This window comes from Homo sapiens, chromosome 20 (genome assembly GCF_000001405.40).
Source record: "Homo sapiens chromosome 20, GRCh38.p14 Primary Assembly".
NCBI classification, from domain to species: Eukaryota; Metazoa; Chordata; class Mammalia; order Primates; family Hominidae; genus Homo; species Homo sapiens.
In genome coordinates this window covers 24494928-24519468 of record NC_000020.11, presented here as the reverse complement: position 1 = coordinate 24519468, position 24541 = coordinate 24494928, and the positions used below count along the sequence as shown (strand labels likewise).

The 24541-nt window shown below is 45.0% G+C and overlaps 1 protein-coding gene across 23 annotated transcripts in view, besides 4 other annotated features; it reads right to left on the bottom strand.

Moving 5' to 3' along the window:
• SYNDIG1 (synapse differentiation inducing 1) overlaps window positions 1-24541 on the bottom strand; it is a 196988-nt gene that overhangs the window by 147148 nt on the left and 25299 nt on the right. The gene's annotated exons all lie outside the window — the stretch shown is intronic.
• Window positions 6471-6970: an enhancer, noted in NCBI's record as "H3K4me1 hESC enhancer chr20:24493135-24493634 (GRCh37/hg19 assembly coordinates)". NCBI's record gives its function as "activates a minimal SCP1, AML or CMV promoter by ChIP-STARR-seq in naive H9 embryonic stem cells {active_cell/tissue: H9 hESC(naive)}" and the evidence as "EXISTENCE:reporter gene assay evidence [ECO:0000049][PMID:30033119]".
• Window positions 6971-7472: an enhancer, noted in NCBI's record as "H3K4me1 hESC enhancer chr20:24492633-24493134 (GRCh37/hg19 assembly coordinates)". NCBI's record gives its function as "activates a minimal SCP1, AML or CMV promoter by ChIP-STARR-seq in naive H9 embryonic stem cells {active_cell/tissue: H9 hESC(naive)}" and the evidence as "EXISTENCE:reporter gene assay evidence [ECO:0000049][PMID:30033119]".
• Window positions 14757-15256: an enhancer, noted in NCBI's record as "H3K4me1 hESC enhancer chr20:24484849-24485348 (GRCh37/hg19 assembly coordinates)". NCBI's record gives its function as "activates a minimal SCP1, AML or CMV promoter by ChIP-STARR-seq in naive H9 embryonic stem cells {active_cell/tissue: H9 hESC(naive)}" and the evidence as "EXISTENCE:reporter gene assay evidence [ECO:0000049][PMID:30033119]".
• Window positions 15257-15758: an enhancer, noted in NCBI's record as "H3K4me1 hESC enhancer chr20:24484347-24484848 (GRCh37/hg19 assembly coordinates)". NCBI's record gives its function as "activates a minimal SCP1, AML or CMV promoter by ChIP-STARR-seq in naive H9 embryonic stem cells {active_cell/tissue: H9 hESC(naive)}" and the evidence as "EXISTENCE:reporter gene assay evidence [ECO:0000049][PMID:30033119]".

Here is a 24541-nt window from a genome sequence, read left to right as displayed (position 1 = left end):
GCAACATGAGATCTTAAGTACCCACAAAAACAAAATGGTGGAGTGACTTGCTTTTTCCTGTGCCATTGGTTTTTACTAAACCTCAGATTTGCTGAAATAAACCAAAAGCATAAAAACAAAAAGTGACTATTTCTCACATTTTTCCTATAACTAAGTGCTTCTTCAATATGGAAGCACAGTTTCTTTATTACAAAAGGTTCAGAAATGACTACACAATTTCACGGACAGTATCGTGGTCCATCTTGTAATTAATTAACATCATAAACTCTCACACTGCCTCCTGGACCTGTGGATGAGAAACAGAGCAACAGCTCAGTCTGGGAAACATAAAAAATATCAGTAGCTGAAATTAGTTAATCAGCGTGCTGACTGATGAGAAAATGAGTCACATTTCAATCCAGCATTTCCATGTTAATATCTCAAGTTTATTCCTGGGGCCATTTGCTCTTGAGTTATTCTCTGCCAGCTAGTAATGGGCTGCGCCGCCCTAGCAAGGTCAAGAAACCCAAATTGGAAGAGGGTACTCACTCCAGAGACCCTGCTGGAGCACCCTGCTTCCTCGGGGTGTGTCTGTGGTTGCCAGAAGACAGGTGGTGATGGTCCTCGTTGTTGTCACCAGGATGCCAACAGACAGAAACTGGTTTCTCTTGGTAAATTATTTTATGTTTTGAAGACCATGGTTTCACGAGTGAAACATGGAGCTGGGAGGTATGCTCAAGTGGTGAATATGGAGATACGTCCTCTGTGATGGCCTTAGGGCCCTTGTGAATCAATACTAGCAGGAAGCCAGAGGCTGGGACACGAGCAGGGCCACCCAGGAAGCTGCTCCCAGCACCTTCTGCCCAGAGCGTCACAAGAAGTGAGCTTTGTTTTGAAACAAGGAATTTCTCTTGTACAAAAATACTTTTCTGAAAGATTAGCTGAACCCCCAGACAAAAAGTGCAATTTAGCCCTGCTGGTGACAGTGTTGCCAACGGGACAAGGATAATGCCCATATACCGTGTTTCCACAGCAGAACCCTCCTGCAGCTACAAAGCTGCCCTCGATCCCTGCTTCTGAGCCATGCCCTTTCTCACAGTGGCAGTCCCAGCCCTGACAGCTCCTCCACTGCCTGTAGAGACTGCAAAGAGTCCCCATTGCTAGGTGTCGATGCTTCTCCCTAGTACCAGTCCAGAGCCGGCCACTCCCCTGCTTGCTCCCGAGAATATTATTTAGCACAGGCCCCCATCCTTGAAGAACCTTCTCCTCCTACTGAAGATGTTCCCAATATTCCATGTAGTCCATTTTCTTGCTGCAGCAGCTAAATTCAACCAATTTCATTTGACTATAAGTGTGTTTCTATTGGTCTTTGGCTAGTGGGCTTCAATGAAAGTGAGCCTCAAAGTCCTAAAAAACAGCACTTTGGGAAGCTGAGGCAGGTGGATCACGAGATCAAGAGATCAAGACCCATACTGGCTAACACGGAGAAGCCCCATCTCTACTAAAAATACAAAAAATTAGCCGGGTGTGTTGGCGGGCGCCTGTTGTCCCAGCTACTTGGGAGACTGAGGCAGGAGAAAGGTGTGAACCTAGGAGGTGGAGCTTGCAGTGAGCCGAGATCGTGCCACTGCACTCCAGCCTGGGTGACAGAGCCAGACTCCCTCTCAAAATATATATATATATAAAAAATATTTTTTCAAAAAAAATGTGTGTATGTATATATATATATACACACACACACACATACACATATATAATATATATACATACACATATATATACACATATATATGTGTATATATATATACATATACACATATATATGTGTGTATATATATATGTGTATATATATATATATACTTTTTTTTTTTGACACAGAGTCTCACTCTGTCACCCAGGCTGGAGTGCAGTGGCGCGATCTCGGCTCACTGCAAGCTCCGCCTCCCAGGTTCACACCATTCTCCTGCCTCAGCCTTCAGAGTAGCTGGGACTACAGGAGCCTGCAAACATGCCCAGCTAATTTTTTTGTTGTATTTTTAGTAGAGATGGGGTTTCACCGTGTTAGCCAGGATGGTCTCGATCTCCTGACCTTGTGATCTGCCCGCCTCGGCCTCCCAAAGTGCTGGGATTACAGGCGTGAGCCACCACACCCGGCATATATATATATTTATTTATTTATTTTTTTTTTTATTATACTTTAAGTTCTAGGGTACATGTGCACAATGTGCAGGTTTGTTACATATGTACACATGTGCCATGTTGGTGTGCTGAACCCATTAACTCGTCATTTACATTAGGTGTATCTCCTAATGCTTTCCCTCCCTGCTTCCCCCACCCAAAACCAGGCCCCAGTGTGTGATGTTCCCCTTCCTGTGTCCAAGTGTTCTCATTGTTCAATTCCCACCTATGATTGAGAACATGCGGTGTTTGGTTTTTTGTTCTTGCGATAGTTTGCTGAGAATGATGGTTTCCAGCTTCATCCATGTCCCTACAAAGGACATGAACTAATCCTTTTCTATGGCTGCATATCATTCCCTAGTGTATATGGGCCACATTTTCTTAATCCAGTCTATCATTGATGGACATTTGGGATGGTTCCAAATCTTTGCTATTGTGACTAGTGCTGCAATAAACATACATGTGCATGTGTTTATAATCCTTTGGGTACATACCCAGTAATGAGATGGCTGGGTCAAATGGTATTTCTAGTTCTAGATCCTTGAGGAATCGCCATACTGTCTTCTACAATGGTTGAACTAGTTTACAGTCCAACCAACAGTGTAAAAGTGTTCCTATTTCTCCACATCCTCTCCAGCACCTGTTGTTTCCTGACTTTTTAATGATCACCATTCTAACTAGTGTGATATGGTATCTCATTGTGGTTTTGATTTGTATTTCTCTGATGGCCAGTGATGATGAGCAGTTTTTCATGTGTCTGTTGGCTGCATAAATGTCTTCTTTTGACAAGTGTCTGTTCATATCCTTCACCCACTTGTTGATAGGGTTGTTTTTTTCTCGTAAATTTGTTTGAGTTCTGGATATTAGCCCTTTGTCAGATGAGTAGATTGCAAAAATTTTCTCCCATTCTGTAGGTTGCCTGTTCACTCTGATGGTAGTTTCTTTTGCTGTGCAGAAGCACTTTAATTTAATTAGATTCCATTTGTCAATTTTGGCTTTTGTTGCCATTGCTTTTGGTGTTTTAGACATGAAGTCCTTACCCATGCCTATGTCCTGAATGGTATTGCCTAGGTTTTCTTCTAGGCTTTTTATGGTTTTCGGTCTAGCATTTTAATCCCTCTTGAATTAATTTTTGTATAAGGTGTAAGGAAGGGATCCAGTTTCAGCTGTCTACATATGGCTAGCCAGTTTTCCCAGCACCAGTTATTAAATAGGGAATCCTTTCCCCATTTCTTGTTTTTGTCAGGTTTGTCAAAGATCAGATGGTTGTAGATGTGTGGTATTATTTCTGAGGGCTCTGTTCTGTTCCATTGGTCTGTATCTCTGTTTTGGTACCAGTACCATGCTGTTTTGGTTACTGTAGCCTTGTAGTATAGTTTGAAGTCAGGTAGCGTGATGCCTCCAGCTTTGTTCTTTTGGCTTAGGATTGTCTTGGCAATGCGGGCTCTGTTTTGGTTCCATATGAAGTTTAAAGTAGTTTTTTCCAATTCTGTGAAAAAAGTCATTGTTAGCTTGATGGGGATGGCATTGAATCTATAAATTACCTTGGGCACTATGGCCATTTTCACAATATTGATTCTTCCTATCCATGAGCATGGAATGTTCTTCCATTTGTTTGTATCCTCTTTTATTTCATTGAGCAGTGGTTTGTAGTTCTCCTTGAAGAGGTCCTTCACATCCCTTGTAAGTTGGATTCCTAGGTATTTTATTCTCTTTGAAGCAATTGTGAATGGGAGTTCACTCATGATTTGGCTCTCTGTTTGTCTGTTATTGGTGTATAAGAATGCTTGTGATTTTTGCACATTGATTTTGTATCCTGAGACTTTGCTGAAGTTGCTCATCAGCTTAAGGAGATTTTGGGCTGAGATGATGTGGTTTTCTAAATATACCATCATGTCATCTGCAAACAGGGACAATTTGACTTCCTCTTTTCCTAATTGAATATGCTTTCTTTTGATCTTTTCAAAAAACCAGCTCCTGGATTCATTGATTTTCTGAAGGGTTTTTTGTGTCTCTATCTCCTTCAGTTCTTCTCTGATCTTAGTTATTTCTTGCCTTCTGCTAGCTTTTGAATGTGTTTGCTCTTGCTTCTCTAGTTCTTTTATTTGTGATGTTAGGGTGTCAATTTTAGATCTTTCCTGCTTTCTCTTGTGGGCATTTAGTGCTATAAATTTCCCTCTACACACTGTTTTAAATGTGTCCCAGAGATTCTGGTATGTTGTGTCTTTGTTCTCATTGGTTTCAAAGAACATCTTTATTTCTGCCTTCATTTCGTTATGTACCCAGTAGTCATTCAGGAGCAGGTTATTCAGTTTCCATGTAGTTGAGCTGTTTTGAGTGAGTTTCTTAATCCTGAGTTCTAGTTTGGTTGCACTGTGGTCTGAGAGACAGTTTGTTATAATTTCTGTTCTTTTACATTTGCTGAGGAGTGTTTTACTTCCAACTATGTGGTCAATTTTGGAATAAGTGCGGTGCGGTGTTGAGAAGAATGTGTATTCTGTTGATTTGGGGTGGAGAGTTCTGTAGATGTCTATTAGGTCCACTTGGTGCAGAGCTGAGTTCAATTCCTGGATATCCTTGTTAACTTTCTGTCTCACTGATCTGTCTAATGTTGACAGTGGAGTGTTAAAGTCTCCCATTATTAATGCATGGGAGTCTAAGTCTCTTTGTAGGTCTCTGAGGACTTGCTTTATGAATCTGGGTGCTCCTGTATTGGGTGCATATATATTTAAGATAGTTAGCTCTTCTTGTTGAATTGATCCCTTTACCATTATGTAATGGCCTTCTTTGTCTCTTTTGATTTTCATTGGTTTAAAGTCTGTTTTATCAGAGACTAGGATTGCAACCCCTGCCTTTTTTTGTTTTCCATTTGCTTGGTGGATCTTCCTTCATCCCTTTACTTTGAGCCTATGTTTATCTCTGCACATGAGATGGGTCTCCTGAATACAGCACACTGACGAGGCTTGACCCTTTATCCAATTTGCCAGTTTATGTCTTTTAATTGGAGCAATTAGTCCATTTACATTTAAGGTTAATATTGTTATGTGTGAATTTGATCCTGTCTTTATGATGTTAGCTGGTTATTTTGCTCGTTAGTTGATGCAGTTTCTTCCTAGCATCAATGGTCTTTACAATTTGGCATGTTTTTGCAGTGGCTAGTACCGGGTGTTCCTTTCCATATTTAGTGCTTCCTTCAGGAACTCTTGTAAGGCAGGCCTGGTGGTGACAAAATCTCTCAGCATTTGCTTCTCTGTAAAGGATTTTATTTCTCCTTCACTTATGAAGCTTAGTTTGGCTGGATATGAAATTCTGGGTTGAAAATTCTTTTCTTAAAGAATGTTGAATATTGGCCCCCACTCTGTTCTGGCTTGTGGAGTTTCTGCCGAGAGATCCGTGTTAGTCTGATGGGTTTCCCTTTGTGGGTAACCCGACCTTTCTCTCTGGCTGCCCTTAACATTTTTTCCTTCATTTCAACTTTGGTGAATCTGACAATTACATGTCTTGGAGTTGCTCTTTTTGAGGAGTATCTTTGTGGCACTCTCTGTATTTCCTGAATTTCAATGTTGGCCTGCCTTGCTAGGTTGGGGAAGTTATCCTGGATAATATCCTGCAGAGTGTTTTCCAACTTGGTTCCATTCTCCCCGTCACTTTCAGGTACACCAATAAGACGTAGATTTGGTCTTTTCACATAGTCCCATATTTCTTGGAGGCTTTGTTTGTTTCTTTTTACTTTTTTTCCTCTAAACTTCTCTTCTCGCTTCATTTCATTCATTTGATCTTCAATCACTGATACCCTTCCTTCCAGTTGATCGAATCGGCTACTGAAGCTTGTGCATTTGTCACATAGTTCTCGTGCCATGGTTTTCAGCTCCATCAGGTCATTTAAGGGCTTCTCTACACTGGTTATTCTAGTTAGCCATTCAGCTAAGCTTTTTTCAAGGTTTTTAGCTTCTTCGCATTGGGTTCGACCTTCCTCATTTAGCTTGGAGAAGTTTGATCGTCTGAAGCCTTCTTCTCTCAGCTTGTCAAAGTCATTCTCCATCCAGCTTTTTTCCATTGCTGGCGAGGAGCTGCGTTCCTTTGAAGGGGGAGAGGTGCTCGATTTTTAAAATGTTCAGTTTTTCTGCTCTGTTTTTTACCCATCTTTGTGGTTTTATCTACCTTTGTTCTTTGATGATGGTGATATACAGATGGGGTTTTGGTGTGGAAGTCCTTTCTGTTTATTAGTTTTCCTTCTAACAGTCAGGACCCTTAGCTGCAGGTCTGTTGGAGTTTGCTGGAGGTCCACTCCAGACCCTGTTTGCCTGGTTATCACCAGCGGAGGCTGCAGAACAGCAAATATTGCAGAACAGCAAATGTTGCTTCCTGATTGTTCCTCTGGAAGCTTCATCTCAGAGGGGTACCCGGCCATGTGAGTTGTCAGTCTGCCCCTACTATGGTTTGCCTCCCAGTTAGGCTACTCGGGGGTCAGGGGCCCACTTGAGGAGGCAGTCTGTCTGTTCTCAGATCTCAAACTCCGTGCTGGGAGAACCACTACTTTCTTCAAAGCTGTCAGACAGACACATTTAAGTCTGCAGAGATTTCTGCTGCCTTTTGTTCGACTATGCCCTGCCCCCGGAGGTGGAGTCTACAGAGGCAGGTAGGCCTCTTTGAGCTCCACCCAATTTGAGCTTCCCAGCTTTGTTTACCTACTCAAGCCTCAGCAATGGCAGGCGCCCCTCCCCCAGCCTCGCTGCTGCCTTGCAGTTTGATCTCAGACTACTGTGCTAGCAATGAGCGAGGCTCCGTGGGCGTGGGACCCTCGGAGCCAGGCACGAGATATAATCTCTTGGTGTGCCGTTTGCTAAGACCCTTGGAAAAGTGCAGTATTAGGGTGGGAGGGACCTGATTTTCCAGGTGCTGTCTATCACCTCTTCCTTTGGCTAGGAAAGGGAATTCCCTGACCCCCTGTGCTTCCCGGGCGAGGCAATGCCTCGCCCTGCTTTGGCTCACACTCAGTGGGCTGTACCCACTGTCCTGCCCCCACTGTCCGATGATCCCCAGTGAGTTGAACCCAGTACCTCAGTTGGAAATGCAGAAATCACCCATCTTCTTCATCGCTCACGCTGGGAGCTGTTGACTGGAGCTGTTCCTATTCGGCCATCTTGGAACCACTGCATATATATATATATATATATATATATATATATATATATATATATATTTTAAAGACCAATGGTGCCTCATGGCTGCCATTCTCCTATATCAGTAGCAAAGGCTTGTGGTACAGAACTGGGATATGAACTGGATGCTGTTAGGGTCCATTTTGTGGAAAAGGGTAAAAGGTGGAATATATTATGCTGAATCATAAATGCCTACACAGGAGTCAAAATAATATTACAGGTGATGAGTTAGAGACTGAACAGAGAGTACATGCCCCCTGACACTAGCCAATTTTAGTCCTGCTGAAAGACAGACGTCATATTGCCAGATCTTCAAATTTCTCAGCAGAAACTGGTTTTAAACCTGGTGCCAGACTCACTTCAAACACTTCCTGCAATAAAGCATGTAAGTATGCTGCATAACATAGCAATTTTTTTAAGCCACAGCTAAGGTCATAGGAAAGCAAGGGAAATCTTCAGGGGCTAGAATTAAGGAGGAAAGTTAGATATGAAGCCTTAAGCCCAAGCTGATACTGCCGCAGTGTGGGGAGAGAAGCCAGTCCTGGCAACAGGGCATGTGTTTAGTGGCGGGGGCAGAGGAGACAGGGCCTGGGTCCCCTCAAGAAGGGAGTGGAAATCAGACCCCCAAACAAAGACGGGAAGCTCAGAGAATAACGTATCCAGTGAAAACTCAGAATCCAGAATCACCCTGCCCATCAGTTCAGTGAGGGAAAACATGGGGTGGTCCCATTGGCCTGGTGCTGGGAAAGTTCTATGCTGAAAACACAGCACCATGTGGAGCCGGGGTTTGGGATTTTAGTATTTGTGCAGCTAGGAAACTCCTACACTGAGGAACTAACATAAAAAGTGGTGACATGTCAGTGATTCCGAGGGGTACCTGGTACTGCATCCTCACTTCAGGAAATGCATAATGACAGTTTTCAGTTAAAGTGTCATGGAGAAAGGTTGACATTCAAAATTTTAAAATTTACCAAGAAATGGCCTGCCCTGAGCCTCAGTCAGCAGGGAAAGCATCTTTCCAAGAATTTCAAGTGATAGATAAAGTAAGTCTCTTTTAAGATATTCTAGCACACAAGGAGAAACCAAATCCACACAGGGAAAAATACATTATTAAAAGAGACAAGGCAAATTGGAATTTCCTGAAATAAAAATAACTACTGAATTTAAGACACGATGGATGAGTTAATAAGCAAACTTGAAATATCTGATGAGGGACTTGAACTGGAATATGGAACTGATGATACTACCTAGAATTCAGCATAATATGGAAATTATGAAAGACATATTAAAAGGTAGGAAGATAAAAATGAGAAGGTCTCCCAATCTACTAATAGAAAATCCAGATGAATAGATTGGGAATTCTAGACTGAGAGAACATTGAGAATGGGGAAGAGGCAATATCTGAAGATATCTGAGAATTTCTCAGAACTAATAAAAGATGTGAATTTACAGATTCAGACATACATAATACAAGGTAAATTAAAGCTATCCCACACTAAATGTAGTAACTATACAATACAAAAGACAAAAATATGATCTCAAACAGAGAAAAATATTTCTTTTCTTTTTTTTTTTTTTTTGAGATCAAGTTTCACTCTTGTCACCCAGACCAGAGTGCAATGGCGCAATCTCGGCTCACTGCAACCTCTGCCTCCCGGGTTCAAGAGATTCTCCTGCCTCAGCCTCCCTAGTAGTTGGGATTACAGGCGCCCACCACCATGCCTAACTTTTTTTTTTTTTTTAAGTACAGATGGGGTTTCCCCATATTGGCCAGGCTGGTCTTGAACTCCTGACCTCAGGTGATCTGCCCGCCTTGGCCTCCCAAACTGCTGGGATTACAGGCGTGAGTCACTGCGCCCAGCCCAGAGAAAATAATTTCAAATTCCTATAGGAAAAAAAGCAAACCAAGAGTAGGTTTCTCAACAACAGCAACAGAAAGTGCATTAGGCTGTTCTAGCATTGCTATAAAGAAATACTAGGTAATTTATAAAGAAATGAGGTGTATTTGGCTCATGGTTTTGCAGCCTGTACAGGAAGCATGGTGCTGGCATTTGCTCAGCTTCTGGGGAGGACTCAGGAAGCTTCCAATCATGGTGGAAGGAAAAGAGGAGCAGGCAGGTCACCTGGCCAAAGCAGGAACAAGAGTGAGCGGGGAGGTGGCACACACCTTTAAACCACCAGATCTCAGGAGAACTCACTCATTATGGTGAGAGCAGCACTAAGGGGTCAGCGCTAAACCGTTCATGAAGAAACCACCCCCATAATCCAATCACCTCCCACAAGGCCCTACCTCCAACATTGGGGATTACATTTCAGCATGAGATTTGGACTGGGGACATACATCCAAACTATGTTAGAAACCGTTAAGGAAATCAAAAATAATTTCAGCATTTGTGAGAGAGAACATTTTATCCTAGAATTCTACACCTATTTAAACTATCATTCACAAATGAAAACTTAAGGCCTTTGTACAAAAACTGAATGAACCACTAACAGCCATTCATTAAGGCTACTAAAGCATATTCTCCAGAAAAAAAGAAAACTGATCAGACAAAGTAAAAATGAGATGCAAGGTGGAAAGTAAGTAAAGAACACGAGTGATATTTAATGAGCATTGACTATAGAAAACAACAGCAAAACTAACCACACTCACAATGGTTAATTCTACTGGAACAAAAGTTAGAAGGAACTGAAATACAGAACAATAGCATAAGAAAGCAAGGGGATTCTAAACTCCTTGTATTGTTAGGAAGAAGGATGGACAATATTAACTCCAGAATTTGCACATTAAGAAATGCATATTAAAAATTTAAGGGTAACATCTAATGATAGAAATAAAATATAAGCCAGTAGACAGAGAAAAGAAAAACAGTTCAGAGAAACTGGAGCTCCAGAATTATTTTATAATCACAAATAATTGAAATACACACACACATATACATACATACACACATGTGTGTACACTAAATCCCTCAAGGGGCTAAATAAAACATGCCCATAACCCATCAGGTTGTAAACTCACACTAAGGTGTCTGCATCAGGGGTTTCTGCTAAAATTACAGGGACCAAGGGACATCAAACAGTAAACCAATGCTCATTGCAGGGAGGTTTATGTTTAAGGCCTGTGGGATTCTTTACATTTTTTACTGATGGTCTTTTGACTCCATGTTACTTTCTTAAATCGCCATGAATGTGTTGGGTTGTGGGACCTGGCATCTGGGCAATTGGGTTTTTATTTCTTGTTGACCTGGTAGTAACATCCTCGATTTCATCTTCAGCCTCCCGCTTCCACCTCTATTTATTCCCCTTTTCTTCAGTTCTCATGTGACTCCAGCCTGCGCCTGCAGGGTAGTGGAGTGGGAGCTGGTGCACACTCATGGTTTTTATCAGTCTGAAGAACTATATTTATTGCTCTTCCAACTCCTAGCCTTGTTTTAACTTTTGCCTGCTCATTTGGTTTTTATTTTTACTTTAAAATTTGATCTTCAACTTCTAGGCTTTCCTCTGAATTTTTTGGCTCTAGTTTTTTTGTTTGTTCATTTAAACGTTTGTTTAAAAATCTCTTTTATTTCACCTATGTTTTTCTTCACTGGGGCTTTGAAATTATCTGACATTTAAATATTATCCTCCTGGGCAGGGCATGGTGGCTCACGCCTGTAATCCCAGCACTTTGGGAGGCTGAGGCGGGCAGATCACTTGAGGTCAGGAGTTTGGCCAACATGGTGAAACTCCGTCTCTACTAAAAATACAAAAATTAGCTGGGCGTAGTGGTGCACGCCTGTAATCTCAGCTACTTGGGAGGCTGAGGCAGGACAATTACTTGAACCCGGGAGGTGGAGGTTGCAGTGAGCCGAGATTGTGCCACTGCACTCCAGCCTGGGCTACAGAGTGAGACTCTGTCACAAAAAAAAAAAAAAAAAAAAAAAAAAAATTATCCTCCTTAATTTTAATTTTCCACTTACCTCATGGTTAATGTTTTTGTGTTAATCTCTTAACCTTCTCACCTTTCTTATCTATGTTTTATCTTCTCTTTTCCTCAGGAATTTACTTTTCATTTCTTTTTTTATTGGTTTATGCTTTTAAGACCACATTAGGTACCTGGGGAGATCCAGAACACTTCTTCGTAGTTTGGCCTGCAGTGGTCCTCTTGGGCCCCAGGCTCTTCTGAGAGGTCACTGTTGTATCCACTGAGGGTGCTTCCCTGCAGGAAGGCAGCTTCCCTGCGCAGGTTCCTGGGTTGTGGAACAGCGCACCTCCTGGCTGTCCCACCAGCACTTCTCGGAGATGAGCTCCTTGAGTGGGACCATGGATTCTGGGCAAATGGTACCCATTAGCATGTCCTGGACAGGAGGAAACAGATGGCCGCAGGAGGCCCCTGCTGCCTGCTTCTCTTCTGGTTAAATGGAGGAGGAGCCTCGGCCTAGCTCAGATGCCTTGCTCACACCCGATACTGCTCAGTTTCTTATCTCTAGCAGGGAAGGCTCCCCCACACCCACAGACCTTCAGCAGCCAAAGGAGGAAGCTGCCACCTTCCTACTAAGCAGGTGCAGGCAAGGGGACTCTTCTGCAGGCCACATTCACGGCTCCAGGCGCGCAGCAGAGTGTGGCAAGGGCTGGGTTCCTGGAGCTGGAGAGGGATGGGCTAGGAACAGAGCTTCCAACAAAGGAGGGGCCTTGTGCTGAGCTCATCACAGCTCCTTCCGGAAAAGCCCTGGTTCTCACCAGCCAGGGACAAATTGGTATTGAGTCTTATTTATTCCTCCTTCAGGAACCACGTGAGAATATAGATGATGAATCAGAAAGGTTCAGGCATTCCTGGTGCCCGGCTGTGTGTCTCAGCTCTCATCCCTGGGCAAGCCCTGGCAGCATCCTCTGGCCAGCAGGCAGCACGCTCCTGTGGGCAACAGGCTTGGCAGGCTGTGGGGGGAGGTCAGAGCCCAGGAGCAGTCGCAGCCTTAATGGACAGAGGTGGAGGATGGACCACCAGTAACTCAGAGGTGGACTGGGGCCCATTGCCCAGCTGGGAACGGCTGATGACGAAGTGTGTGTTGGCCAGCCTCCCTAAAAGCTCACTTCCCACTCCACTTCCAGTGCTTTCTGGCATCACTTCCCATGCAAGCTACATGCACCCAAATCACCCAAATCCTTATCTCAGGGGGCTTCTGGGGAGCCCATCTAAGATACCTGGGCACTCTTGCCAAATCCTTCCTTTATTCTAGAATCCCCTCATGACTAAATGAGCTCCGAGGCTTTCTTGCCCACTGCCCAGCTTCTCTGCCTGTGTGAGTGACTCAAACCTGCCCCTCACATGTGACTGGGGCCCACAGGGCTCAGGTATGCCTGGCTTTGGGAACCGATGTGGGACTGCCTGGGACCACAATAACACGGCTTGCCAGGTCCTGGAGGAGCCACTGCCCCGGACACCACTGCATCAGCGGATTTGAAATAAACCAGAGGGAACCCATGGGAGCTTTTATTTTAGATGTGGCCCATCCCAGATTAGGCCCACAGGGCCACAGTTCCATCCCAGTAGCAGGGCCAGGCTGGGCTTCCAGAGAAGGACCTTTTCTGGTGGACCTTAATAGGACTTCAAGAGAAACTTCAGAGTCTGAGATCTTATTGCTTCAGTTTTGAAAGAAAAAAATAACAGTGCCAATCCCCAAAGCACTGTCCACCCTCAGCTGTGGTGGCACCAGGGGGACTGTGGCCATGCTCTCCCTCTCTTTGGCGCTTGGGGGAATTTCTGTCTCCTAAACCTGGAGTGGTTTCCTGACAACTCAGACGTGGCATCACAGTCACACTTTCCCTTTTTGGGTATGTGGGTGTGCTGCCACCTGGCATGTGGCATAGTTAGATAGAGGTTTCACCTCATCTTATTCCACATGCCCCTTGTCTTATAACTTGCTAAGGATATGGATGGCTGGACAGACAGACTCTTACCTGGGCAATGGGTATGTTCTCAGCTGCAGCTGAGTTCACATTCATGGAAATTCCTCCCGGAGATTATTTATGAACCAGACCTGGCGGTGCCAAATTAAGGCACTTAGGATAAACTGGGGCCAGGACTTGAGAGTTGGTGGGAGCTAAGTCATACTCTTGGGGTCGGCACTGGAGGTTCAGCATTTGCTGTGACTCCTCTCTGATTCCTGCCATCCTGGCACCTATGTTCTGGACCAGTTACAAAGAAACCATTTCCCCTTAGCAGTGTTGTTTTCATGACTGCATCTAGCTACTACCAAACCACAGAATTTGGCAGAATAGGGAGAATGAGACAACTGAAAATGCTTCAACTCTTTTAATGGCATGTCTCTATTGTCAGGATTTTTTGCAACTTTGCTTCAAGTGCTGCAAGGGGAAAGTCTAGCATCCCACTTTCTATATTCGGATTTCTGATCTTCTAAAATAAGTCCCAGCTCCACTGTGCCCTGATGTCCAGGACTTGGTCTCCTAAGGAGAACACTGAGAGGCATCCAGACAGCATAAACAGCTGACCTGGGCGAGTGGAGTAAACATGAAGACAGCAAATATGGGCGGAAGCCACCTAAGATTGCCTAAGAATGAGGACCCAGTCTGCTCTGCAATTTAAATTTTATTAAAAATGTTGCAGTGCCATTTACAAAAACCCCAGAAGGGAACAATCCATGTGGATTCCTAAAATCCACCCCAATTTAGCTGCTAGGTTGAGTAAGGGGGGCAGATCTGGGGTTTGGATATGTAGGAGCCACTCTGAGCCCCCCTCTTCCCCGCTGAGGGGGTCCTAAACGCCAGTGAGTCCAGAGGATGACCGCCTCTGCCCACCAGGCCTGACCTCAGACAAATATGACACCCTGGGCATCTTCCTTCTCCTTGAGAGAATTTCCCCAGGGCTCCCCTGGCTGCGCACCCTTGGCTGGTTTTCCTGCTTCCCAATGACTTCTCAATGACTCTTTGCCAGGTCCTCTCTTCAGCCTTTTCCAGCTCATCTCCCTGTAGCCCGCGGTGCCACCTACCTACCCTGTGCCGATGACCACTCAGCTAGCAAGCTGGACACGCACAGACCCTCTGCTGGCTCCTCACCCACCACGTCTGTGAACAGCCCTGCCGCGGCTCACCTGGCCTTGCCCCACACCTGGGATCTGTTCACCACCTCCTCCATGAAAATCAAAGCATCAACAAGTCCTACTGATTCTTCCCCCTTGTCACCCTGGACCAAGCTACCATCCTCTCACCCAGGCCACTTCAACGATTTCCTAGTTGCTTCCCCACATCCTTACTGGGCTATTGCAGCAGTCACAGGGTCTTTCAGATGGGGAACTGATTCTGTGACAGCTCTGCAGGAATTCTTCAGTGACCCAGCTCCCGGGGCACAGACCAAAGGCTTTTGCGTAGCTCATGAGAGCCAGCATATGCCAACCCCCGTTTAGTCTCCGTCTCAACTCTGACATCTCCCAACTCTCTATGTTCCCTCGTGACTGGCCTTCTTTGAAGTAGAAGCTGTTCTTCATGAGCTACAGATTTTAAAGTTTGGATCCGGATTCATTCTGAAGAAAACTGAAAACTAAGAACATCCATGCTCCACCACAGGGACAATACAGCCTCAGGTCCCAGCCCCCAGGCAGCCTCCGAGCCACAGATGGAGACCTAGAGCCAGGGTGAGGGTGGCATCCAGAGAGGGCCAAGGGAGCTCAGTCGGGCTTGTTTGGGCTTGGGTTTCCTTCGCTGCATCTCTGTCCTGTCTTTCCCTGTTTTCTTTCCAGGGGTTCCTTTAAGCCTTTTTGCTACGCATAGGGTCTCTTTATTATGTGCGACTTCATTGCTCCCCGGGCTACCTATGCCACAATCTACACTGCAGTGAAACAAGCCATCAGATAGCCACACCAATGAAAGTCCGCAAAGCATAAAACTGCTCTCCTGGCTGGGCGCGGTGGCTCACACCTGTAATCCCAGCACTTTGGGAGGCCGAGGCGGGCGGATCACGAGGTCAGGAGACCAAGACTATCCTGGCTAACACGGTGAAGCCCTGTCTCTACTAAAAATACAAAAAATTAGTCGGCGTGGTGGCAGGTGCCTGTAGTCCCAGCTACTCAGGAGGCTGAGACAGGAGAATGGCGTGAGCCTGGGAGGTGGAGCTTGCAGTGAGCCAAGATCATGCCACTGTACTACAGCCTGGGCGAAAGTGTGAGACTCCGTCTCAAAAAAAAAAAAAAAAAAAAACCTGCTCTCCCTGGATCCCACGGATCTGCTTTGTAAGCAGCAATCCTCATGAAATGTCTTCAATCCAGTCATTCAACAAGTCATGCCCGAGTACGCACCCTGCAGTAGGCGCTGGGGGTGGCAGGGAAGCAGCCAGAAGAAGCCTGTGTTCTTGTGAAGCTCACACTTGACCTAAAGATGAGAGGCAGATCATGAGCTCAATGAGTGAGTTCTGCAGATAAGAGCTGTAGGAAAGTTAGCACAGGGTCAGGGGGATTGGAGTGCCAGGGGGCTGAGATCATGAGCTCAATAAATGAGTTCTGCAGATAAGAGCAGTGGAAAGCTAGCAAAGGGTCAGAGGGACTGGAGCGCTGGGGGGCTGGGGAGGCATTCCCATTGGGGGATTTTGGGGGTGACGCTCATTGCTTCTATGAGAACTCTGCATCCCGTATCAGAGCAAAAGTAGACGAGCTTCTCCTGAGCCCCTGGTCTATTTTTACCGCGTGGACACTGTGAGTCATGCTGCTGATTGTGTCTCCCTCTCAGCACTGCTGCTGAGCACACAGCCAGCTCTAGACACCAAAATATATTTGAGGTGCTCACCTCCCTCTTGGTGTGATCTCATTTTTCCTGATCTTTTTCCTCCACCTTGTTAGGATCATCTGTGCATTTAGTTAGCTGGTTATATTGCCACCTGTCCGCCCTGCCTTGCGTGATAAGTACCGTGCAGAAGGAACGCATCCCCAGCTATATTTCCAGGCATTACAAGCCGCCTTCTGGCAGGGGACGCCTGCCTTCCCCCACAGTCCTCAGGAAGGAGCAACAGAGAAGAAGGAATGAGAAGAATGAGGGCACAGTCTGCTTCCCAAGCTCAGCTGAAGACCACAAAGCTTCTGAGACCCTGACCATGAATCTGTCCATTCACGCATCCCAGATAAAGGGCCCTTGAAACTTGGAAGTGTGATGGGCTTCATGCTATGACATCTTGAATGATCACTGAACATAATTGTGCCAAAGTTCGTATCTACTTAATTTCCCAGAGTTTAAAGCAGAATTAACATAAATGCAAAGACAAAACTCCCACGTCAGCGCTCTGCTTTCCAGACACGTCAGCAGGCACTGTATGAATCAGTACTGTCACTCTTCTCTTCTTCAGTGACCTTTGTATTTTATTTCCTTTAACAGAGAGGACAGCCCCAAGGCCTTCACACCATCCTAACCAGAAGCCAAATGGCAATGCACTTGGAGGATGTGCATTTGATCCAGAAAAGCAAATTAGCATGTTCTTAACAAAGATTTGAATGGGACATCCATGGAATGACACTAACTCTTAAAAATCACTAAAATAGCTTGCTTAAAAGTCACTGAAATAGCTGCCAGGGTCAAATAAATGATTGTTTCAAAGTCATTCTTTCCCAGAACTCTGCAGGGAAGATTCAAGGGTGAGGATTCTGAGAGATTCTGTCTCCCTGACATTCATTCCTGTCTGTGCCCGGGGTATGATTCATCCTGGAGAGGCCAGGACGATGCTCTGTGAATCAGAGCAGCACTGATGCACAGGCAGAGATGCTTCCCAAGAGACACTGCCTCCCACGTGACACTCCAAGCCCTGCTCGCCACTTGTCCTGGACAGGATTCACTTAGTGATGGGGAGAAAGCAGATGACGCAGAACAGGCCTGCTGCTTCCACAAGGCTATGACTCCTGCATCCAGGATGATGCCCAAGACCTCCCAGAAGCTGGCCCTGCGACGAGGATCTGAGTGCACTTGGGAGGTGGTTCCAGAAAGCACTGGGTAGGGGCAAGAAAGGTAGGGAACAGAAAGAAGGTGAGGGGTATGTGTGGTTAAGCCAGTTGCTGCTGCCAGTGGCTGGGGCTCAGCCCTGTGGGAACGTCTAGGGGACTGTATAGGACATTCACTCACAGCTATCAGGACAGGGGCATCTTCCCAGCAACGTCCTGCCCGCCACTGGCCAAGGGCTGCTCGTGGGCCATTCGTTCTCGGCCCTTAGCTTGCCCTGGCATGGGCAGAGCAGTCTCCCCTTGCTGGAAAAGAATCCCCAGGAAAAAGGCCACAGGTGTCAGCCAGAAGCAGCTCGGGGCCTGCAGAGGTGAGTGCCCAGTGGGTACACCTGGGGCACCGGCCTTACTTGCTCTGATGCATAAAACTCTCCTGGATGAGACACCACAAGTGGGTGCTTCTTTAACTCTGTAAGACAGAGTCTAGTGCATGACAGATGAATAATATCGGAAGCACAGGGACTAAGCTTACCATGAAATACGTAATAACCCCCTGTGACATGGACATTCTATAACTACCCCCATTTCCAGAAGAGGGAACAGAGGTACAGAGAGGCAAAGTATGTCACTGATGGTCACACAGCTAATAAGTGGCAAGGCTGGAATCTGAACCCAGCCGGTGTGGCCTTGGGACCTCTGTCCCCAGTCCCTACTCTATATAGCTTCCCATCAGAAATGCAGCCACATAAACGGCTGGGCACAGCACAGCTTAGGGCCTGAAATAAGCTTGAAGGGTGATCAACGATATCCGTGAACTGGATTCACAGATTCGATCCATGGAATCCACTCCTGCTGCTCAGAGCACCTCACACGTGCTATCTTCGCTGTCATCCGGGGCTACTGCCCTGTGCATGCTGCAGAGGATATGGAAGCTACAGGTACGACATTTAGGTCCCAGAGGAATCGCCATCTTCAAGAGTTTTAGTAGATTATAAGTAGAAGTACAATCTGCAAAGCAAAGCACACCCTACATATGTAAAGTACAAAATAACCTTTATAATATAAAAAAATAGATGGAATATGTAAATATGCTGTCTACATAGGTAGATAGATGTTATCTACATAGGTAGATAAGTAGATAGATAGGTAGATTTCTTTTCCTAAAAGCTTCAAATTATTTTAGTATGCTTGCCAGTTTGAGGAAATATCTTTTTTTCAAGTTTCATTTCTTGTGTTTTTTAGTGTTTATACGGTAGAGTTGGACAGCTACCCCACTTCTGTTTTCAATATTTCTTCACTAGTTAGAAAACTTTCCCTCAGGGCTTCCCCAGAGTTCTGCATACACCTTGTCAGCCTAAGATCATAAATGCAATTTATTTTGCTTTATGAGGAATGAATCTTCCACAGTACATGCTTCCAAATATAAATCCCACACTCTGCAGTGTCCTCCTTGGTCAGGCAGGTCACTGATATTCCAATGGACATGGCTGACAGGACCATCATTTTAAAAGCTGAGCTTTAACTAAGCATGTTGTGGAGCCAGACGTGAGGTCAAGTCTAAAGAAAGATGCTGTGGTGTCTGCACACAGCAGTGCGCTTGGGTTTTACGATCTGTAACAAGCATGGCACACATCACTTGAATTAAGACAGAAGGAAAAAAAGAAGAAAGAGAGAGAGAGAAAGAAAAAAGAAAGAAAGAAAGAAAGAAGAAAGAAAGAAAGAAAGAAAGAAAGAAAGAAAGAAAGAAAGAAAGAAAGAAAGAAAAGAATCTGCTTTTGTTTTCCAACTAGAAACAGCCAACTCTCTAAGTTGATACTGAAATGCCTGAACAGCCCAATGTTTTGTGGAAACTCATGGAAAAAGGATGAAAACAACACTCGATAGAAAAGGACTCCATCCTTTCTTTGGCAACATAGAAGGTATTTCTATTTTTTCTGCCATTTTCTATCAACGATTTCTGTGAATTATATTTATTCACTTTTAAAGAAACATAGGAATCACATTTGGCATCATTTAAAATGCCATTTGAGAGATATACATGCATAAATCAAACATCACCATCACCGAGAGGACTAGGGATGCTAGCAAGTTCTGGTGCTTTTGTCGACACAGACGCACAGAAACTGAGTCTGGAGTCTTTGGCAGCAAACCCACAGTCTGGACACGGCTGGCTGGCTGTGGCCTTTTTTGGGTTCCCTTTCCTGATGCCCACCTTTGGGCCATTTCACTTCTCACTAAATCCGGGGAGATGAGTGGGTACGGAGTGAGCAGTGATGGCACTTCTCAGTGTAGCTATTTGCATTAGAATCGTGAAAATTACTGGCATGATTTATAAGGCATCTATTACCCCACTCCCTTGGCTGATAATCAGGAATCAGCCTTACATATATTGATATGAACTATGTATAAAGATTTTCATTGTGTTGTATAGAATTTTTACATGATGGGAGCGTGTTCACTCCTTGCCTTACCAAGGATGCTTTTGCTTTCCTGCTTTCTCTCCCACCAGTGAGCAGCCTCTACCCGGGCAGGGCATGGAGAATGGCTGTTTGGACAGTTAGGTTCTTGGCAAAGCCAGTGAATCTGGACAGGTACCGACCGACTCAGTCCGTACATGTCACTTCTAGTCCACATTAGTTGCTGTAAGTGTTTATGCCATCAAAGGTTGGCGCATGTTGGTAGTTCTCTCATGTTCATAGGTAAACATCCTAATTGTCATTTATGGATGTATGCAGTGCAGCCTTGCCTGGGTAGCAGAGTAGGGTGGTGGTGAATATGAGTTAATTATCCTTCCACACTGCCAGAAATAACTGTGCCACTGGGCCTGAGAATGAGAACATAAAACCTCATGTCCTATTCCTCCTCTGACCACTTGTGGCTGAACTGGATCAGGAAAGATTCCCATCTTTCACTAGGCTGAGCGCAGTGGCTCACGCCTGTAACCCCACCACTTTGGGAGGCTGAGGCGGTTGGATCACTTGAGGTTAGGAGTTCGAGACCAGCCTGGCCAACATGGTGAAACCCCATGTCTACTAAAAATACAAGAATTAGCTGGGCATGATGCTGCACACCTGTAATCCTAGCTACTCGGGAGGCTGAGGCAGGAGAATCACTTGAACCTGGGAGGCAGAGTTTGCAGTGAGCCGAGATCGTGCCACTGCACTCCAGCCTGCACTTGCGACAGCTAGACTCCGTCTCAAAACAAACAAACAAACAAACAAAACAGGAGAAACTAGTGCCTACTGAGAGTCTACTGACTGGTGTAGCCACTGGGGAAAACAGTTTCTCAAAAAATGGAAACTCGAACCACCCTATGACCTGGCAATCCTGCTTCTGGTTGTGCATCTGGATGCCGCACACCCGTGTTCCCTGCAGCATTCTTCATAACAGCCAAGGCATGGAAGCAGCCTAAGGGCCCACTGATAGGCAAATGAAGGGAAAAAAGGTGGTGTACATGCCACGGAACACTGGTCAACCTTACGAAAGAGGGAAATCCTGACCTCTGTGACATGGACAAGCCTGAAGGACATTATGCTAAGTGAACACAGCTACACACAAGAACACATCTACATACATGACATGAGGAATCCTGAAGGACATTATGCTAAGTGGAACACGGTTACACACAAGGACACATCTACATATATGACATGAGGAATCTAACATAGTTAAACTCACAGCAGCAGAGAGTGGAATGGTGGCTGCCAGAGGCAGGGAACGGGAGATGGGAATGGGGAGGTGTTGGTCAAGAGGCACAAAATTTTGGTTATACAAAATGACAAAGTCCTAGCAAGCTACTGTGCAGCTCAGCGCCTATGGCTAACGTAGAAATTTAAAGGACAAAATTTTAATATACACTTATAATATACACTATATAATATACACTTATAATTTTGCTAAGAGGGTAGACCTTATGTTAAGTGTTCTTATCACAAATACTACTACTAATAATAATAAATAAATGGGGTGGGAGGAAGCTTTTGGAAGTGATGAATAGTGATGAAGTGATGGCACAAAGTATGTTGATGACTCCAGGGGTGTACACTGAGGTCCAAACTCCTCAAGTTGCATACGTTAAACACGCACAGCTTTTTGTGTGTCAGTCAAACTTCAGTAAAGTCAGCTGACTTGTTTTTGTTTAAAGGCTGGGCTGTGAGATCAGCATGTGGGAAACCACCCTGGAATGAGGGCTGTGAGATTCTAGTGTTTATTTAAATAACCTGCCCAGGCCTTTGGCTGATGGCCAAGTCTGCTCTATATGACAGCCTGTGTTGAGATTCCAGTGTAAGATCATGGGTCTGGACAATCCAGGTTGAAAGAGCTCTTTACTGTCAGCACTTAGCCATTGTTTTCCATCTCCTTCAGGCAGAAGTGGATCCACAGATCACATATAAAACCAGAATAGTGCATGATCTTCAAATACACTCTGGGGCCATAAGCTAAGCTCTGCTCTTCAGCCCCTGTAGCTGACATTCTTCACTAGCTCCTGGTTTTTCTTTTTAACAGCAATGGGCCCCAGGGTTGCCTAGAAGCCCTTGTATCCATTTAACTTTGGGCAGAGACCCCAGGTTCGTGAAGAAATGCTCCTTTTCCATCTGTTCTTACCTCCCCTCTGTATGGCATGGGCAGTACAGTGCACATAGAAGACTAGTTCAATCCCTTCCAAGACCCCAACTGCGCTGAAATCTAAGAAGCCCATTTGTGATTTAAAAGAAAATACTAAATTAAGAGAAACCGAGGCCAGGCACAGTGGCTCACACCTGTAATCCCAGCCCTTTGGGAGGCCAAGGTGGGCAGATCTCTTGAGGCCAGGAGTTCAAGACCAGCCTGACCAACATGGTGAAACCCCATCTCTACTCAAAATACGAAAATTAGCCGGGCTTGGTGGTACACACCTGTAGTCCCAGCTACTCGTGTGGCCAAGGCACAAGAATTGCTCGAACTGGGAGGCGAAGATTGCAGTGAGCCGAGATCGCATCCCTGCACTCAGCCTGGGCAGCACAGAGAGACCCTGTCTCAAAAACAAACAAACAAACAAACAAAAAACACATAAACAAACAAACAAAAGAAAAGAAAAAGAGAGAAGCAGAAAAAACTTACTTGATTCACAGGGCCTGGACATCAATCATCTCATTTCAAATATGTAAGAACAGAAGAATAAAATTCTGATAAAATTCTATCTCCTAAGATAGATATGAGCTAGCAATGAAATAGTAAATTAAGCAAATGGTATTAGTACTACTGTGAAGATATAAAACTCTAATAAGCCTACTAAGGCTGGATCTAGAAACTCAAAGGTACCAGGAGGATTTTGAGGGGGAAGGCATAGAAATTGAGAATTAGAAATAGATAAAAATTACATCACTAAAGAAAAAATAAGGATAAGAAAAATCTTAAATATTTAAAGTACAAAAGTGAAAGCCAACAGATCTTTTTTTCTCCCCCAGCTCTGGGTATATTGTGTCAGGGGATATAGTGCTTTAGTGTCAGGATAAGCTTTACTGTAGATCTGGGAAAGGAAACTAGTATTTACCACACTGTGCTGTGTATTTTCACATACGTTATCCCAAGTGATCATCTCACTAAGCCAAGTAGAAATGAATTATGATGCCCATTTTAAAGATGAGAAAACAGATGTTCAGAAAAAAACAAAACAGTATCTTGCCCTGCATTACAAACCTGGTCAGTAAGAGTTACACCCAGGTGTGCCCAATGCCAAAACCCACATTTATTCCACTATAGAAACCCATGCTTTTAGAATCAAAAAGGATAAAATCTTAAGGAATTAAATTTAACAAAAGAAATGAAACATTTGTCTGCTGAGAGCTACAAGACATCTCATTGGAAGAAATCACAGAAGACCTAAATATATGGAGAGATATCCATGTTCATTAACTGGAAAACTGAGTATCATTAGACGGCAACACTTCTCAAACGCAGCCATAGATTCAGTGCGGTCCCATCAGCACCACAGCTGGCGGAACGGACAAGTGTATCGTCAAATTAACATTTACGGGGAAAAGCGAAGGATGGGTTCCCTCTCTTGCTGCTCCTGAAACATGCAGTCAACCCCAGTTTTTAAAAACAGAAATATGGCCAGGCTTGGTGGCTCACGCTTGCAATCCCAGCACTTTGGGAGGCCGAGGCGGGCTGATCACGAGGTCAGGAGATCGAGACCATCCTGTCTAACATGGTGAAACCCTGTCTCCACTAAAAATAACAAAAAATTAGCCAGGCGTGGTGGCAGGCACCTGTAGTCCCAGCTACTCGGGAGGCTGAGGCAGGAGAATGGCGTGAACCCAGGAGGCGGAGCTTGCAGTGAGCCGAGATCGTGACGCTGCACTCCAGCTTGGGCAACAGAGTGAGACTCCATATCAAAAATAAATAAATAAATAAAATAAAAATAAAAACAGAAATAATAACTACCTCCATTTCTCAGGCAGTTCTCTTTGCCCAGCATTTGGCCAGGGCGTTGGCCCACCTCACCAATGTGATCCCATGTGAGTACCGTCAACTTTAGAACTCAATTACTCTCGTTTTGTGCATGAAGAGAGTGAAGTCCTAGCCCTAGGACTTGATCCTTGTTCTGTCCAAATAAATCCCCAAGGCACTTTTCTAAGGGGATGTTCTCTGGCATGTTTGTTCCAGCTATGCACATTGCTGCTGGAGGCTGGGTTGCGAGTCAGCATCTCAGGGAAAGGTGGATCAGCACAGCCGCCCTCCTGGCCCCAGACCACAGGCTACATTCCCAGACTCGCTGCCATTGCATGACAGAGAATCCGTCAGCTCGGGGAACTGGATGAAGCGGGCTGGGACTGGTAACTGGGGTGATGCCTGAGGGATAAACTGGGGTGCGGGTGGCCTTGGATAAGTGTCATGTGCAGTGAATGGGGAGGTGACCCTCTAAAAGCCGCCAAGTGGCTGGCCTCCAGCAAGCCAGGGGCAGACTAGAGGGCAGGTCAGAAGTGAGCTGAGGGCCTGGAGGGTAGTCCTGTCTTCTGAAACAGCTGACAAGAAATCCACCCTCCCTTCTGATGTCCCTGAGAATGTCATAAAAGTGGGTCACAAAGTTTAAGTGGCAAATCCCACCCTAGTAGAGGAACATGGCCATTGTACTGCATCGTATCCTTGTCTTAGTTTAAATTTACAGTGTTAAGCATAATAAATACAGCTGTCAATGACCATGACTACCGCAGATGCATTAGTGACTGTTCTTGTAACTGAGTTCTACCTTTTTAACTGACCAGGGCATGGTTATAGATTGAATGAGAACCCTGGACCTGGACTGAGGTAGTAGGAGTCACTCCTGAC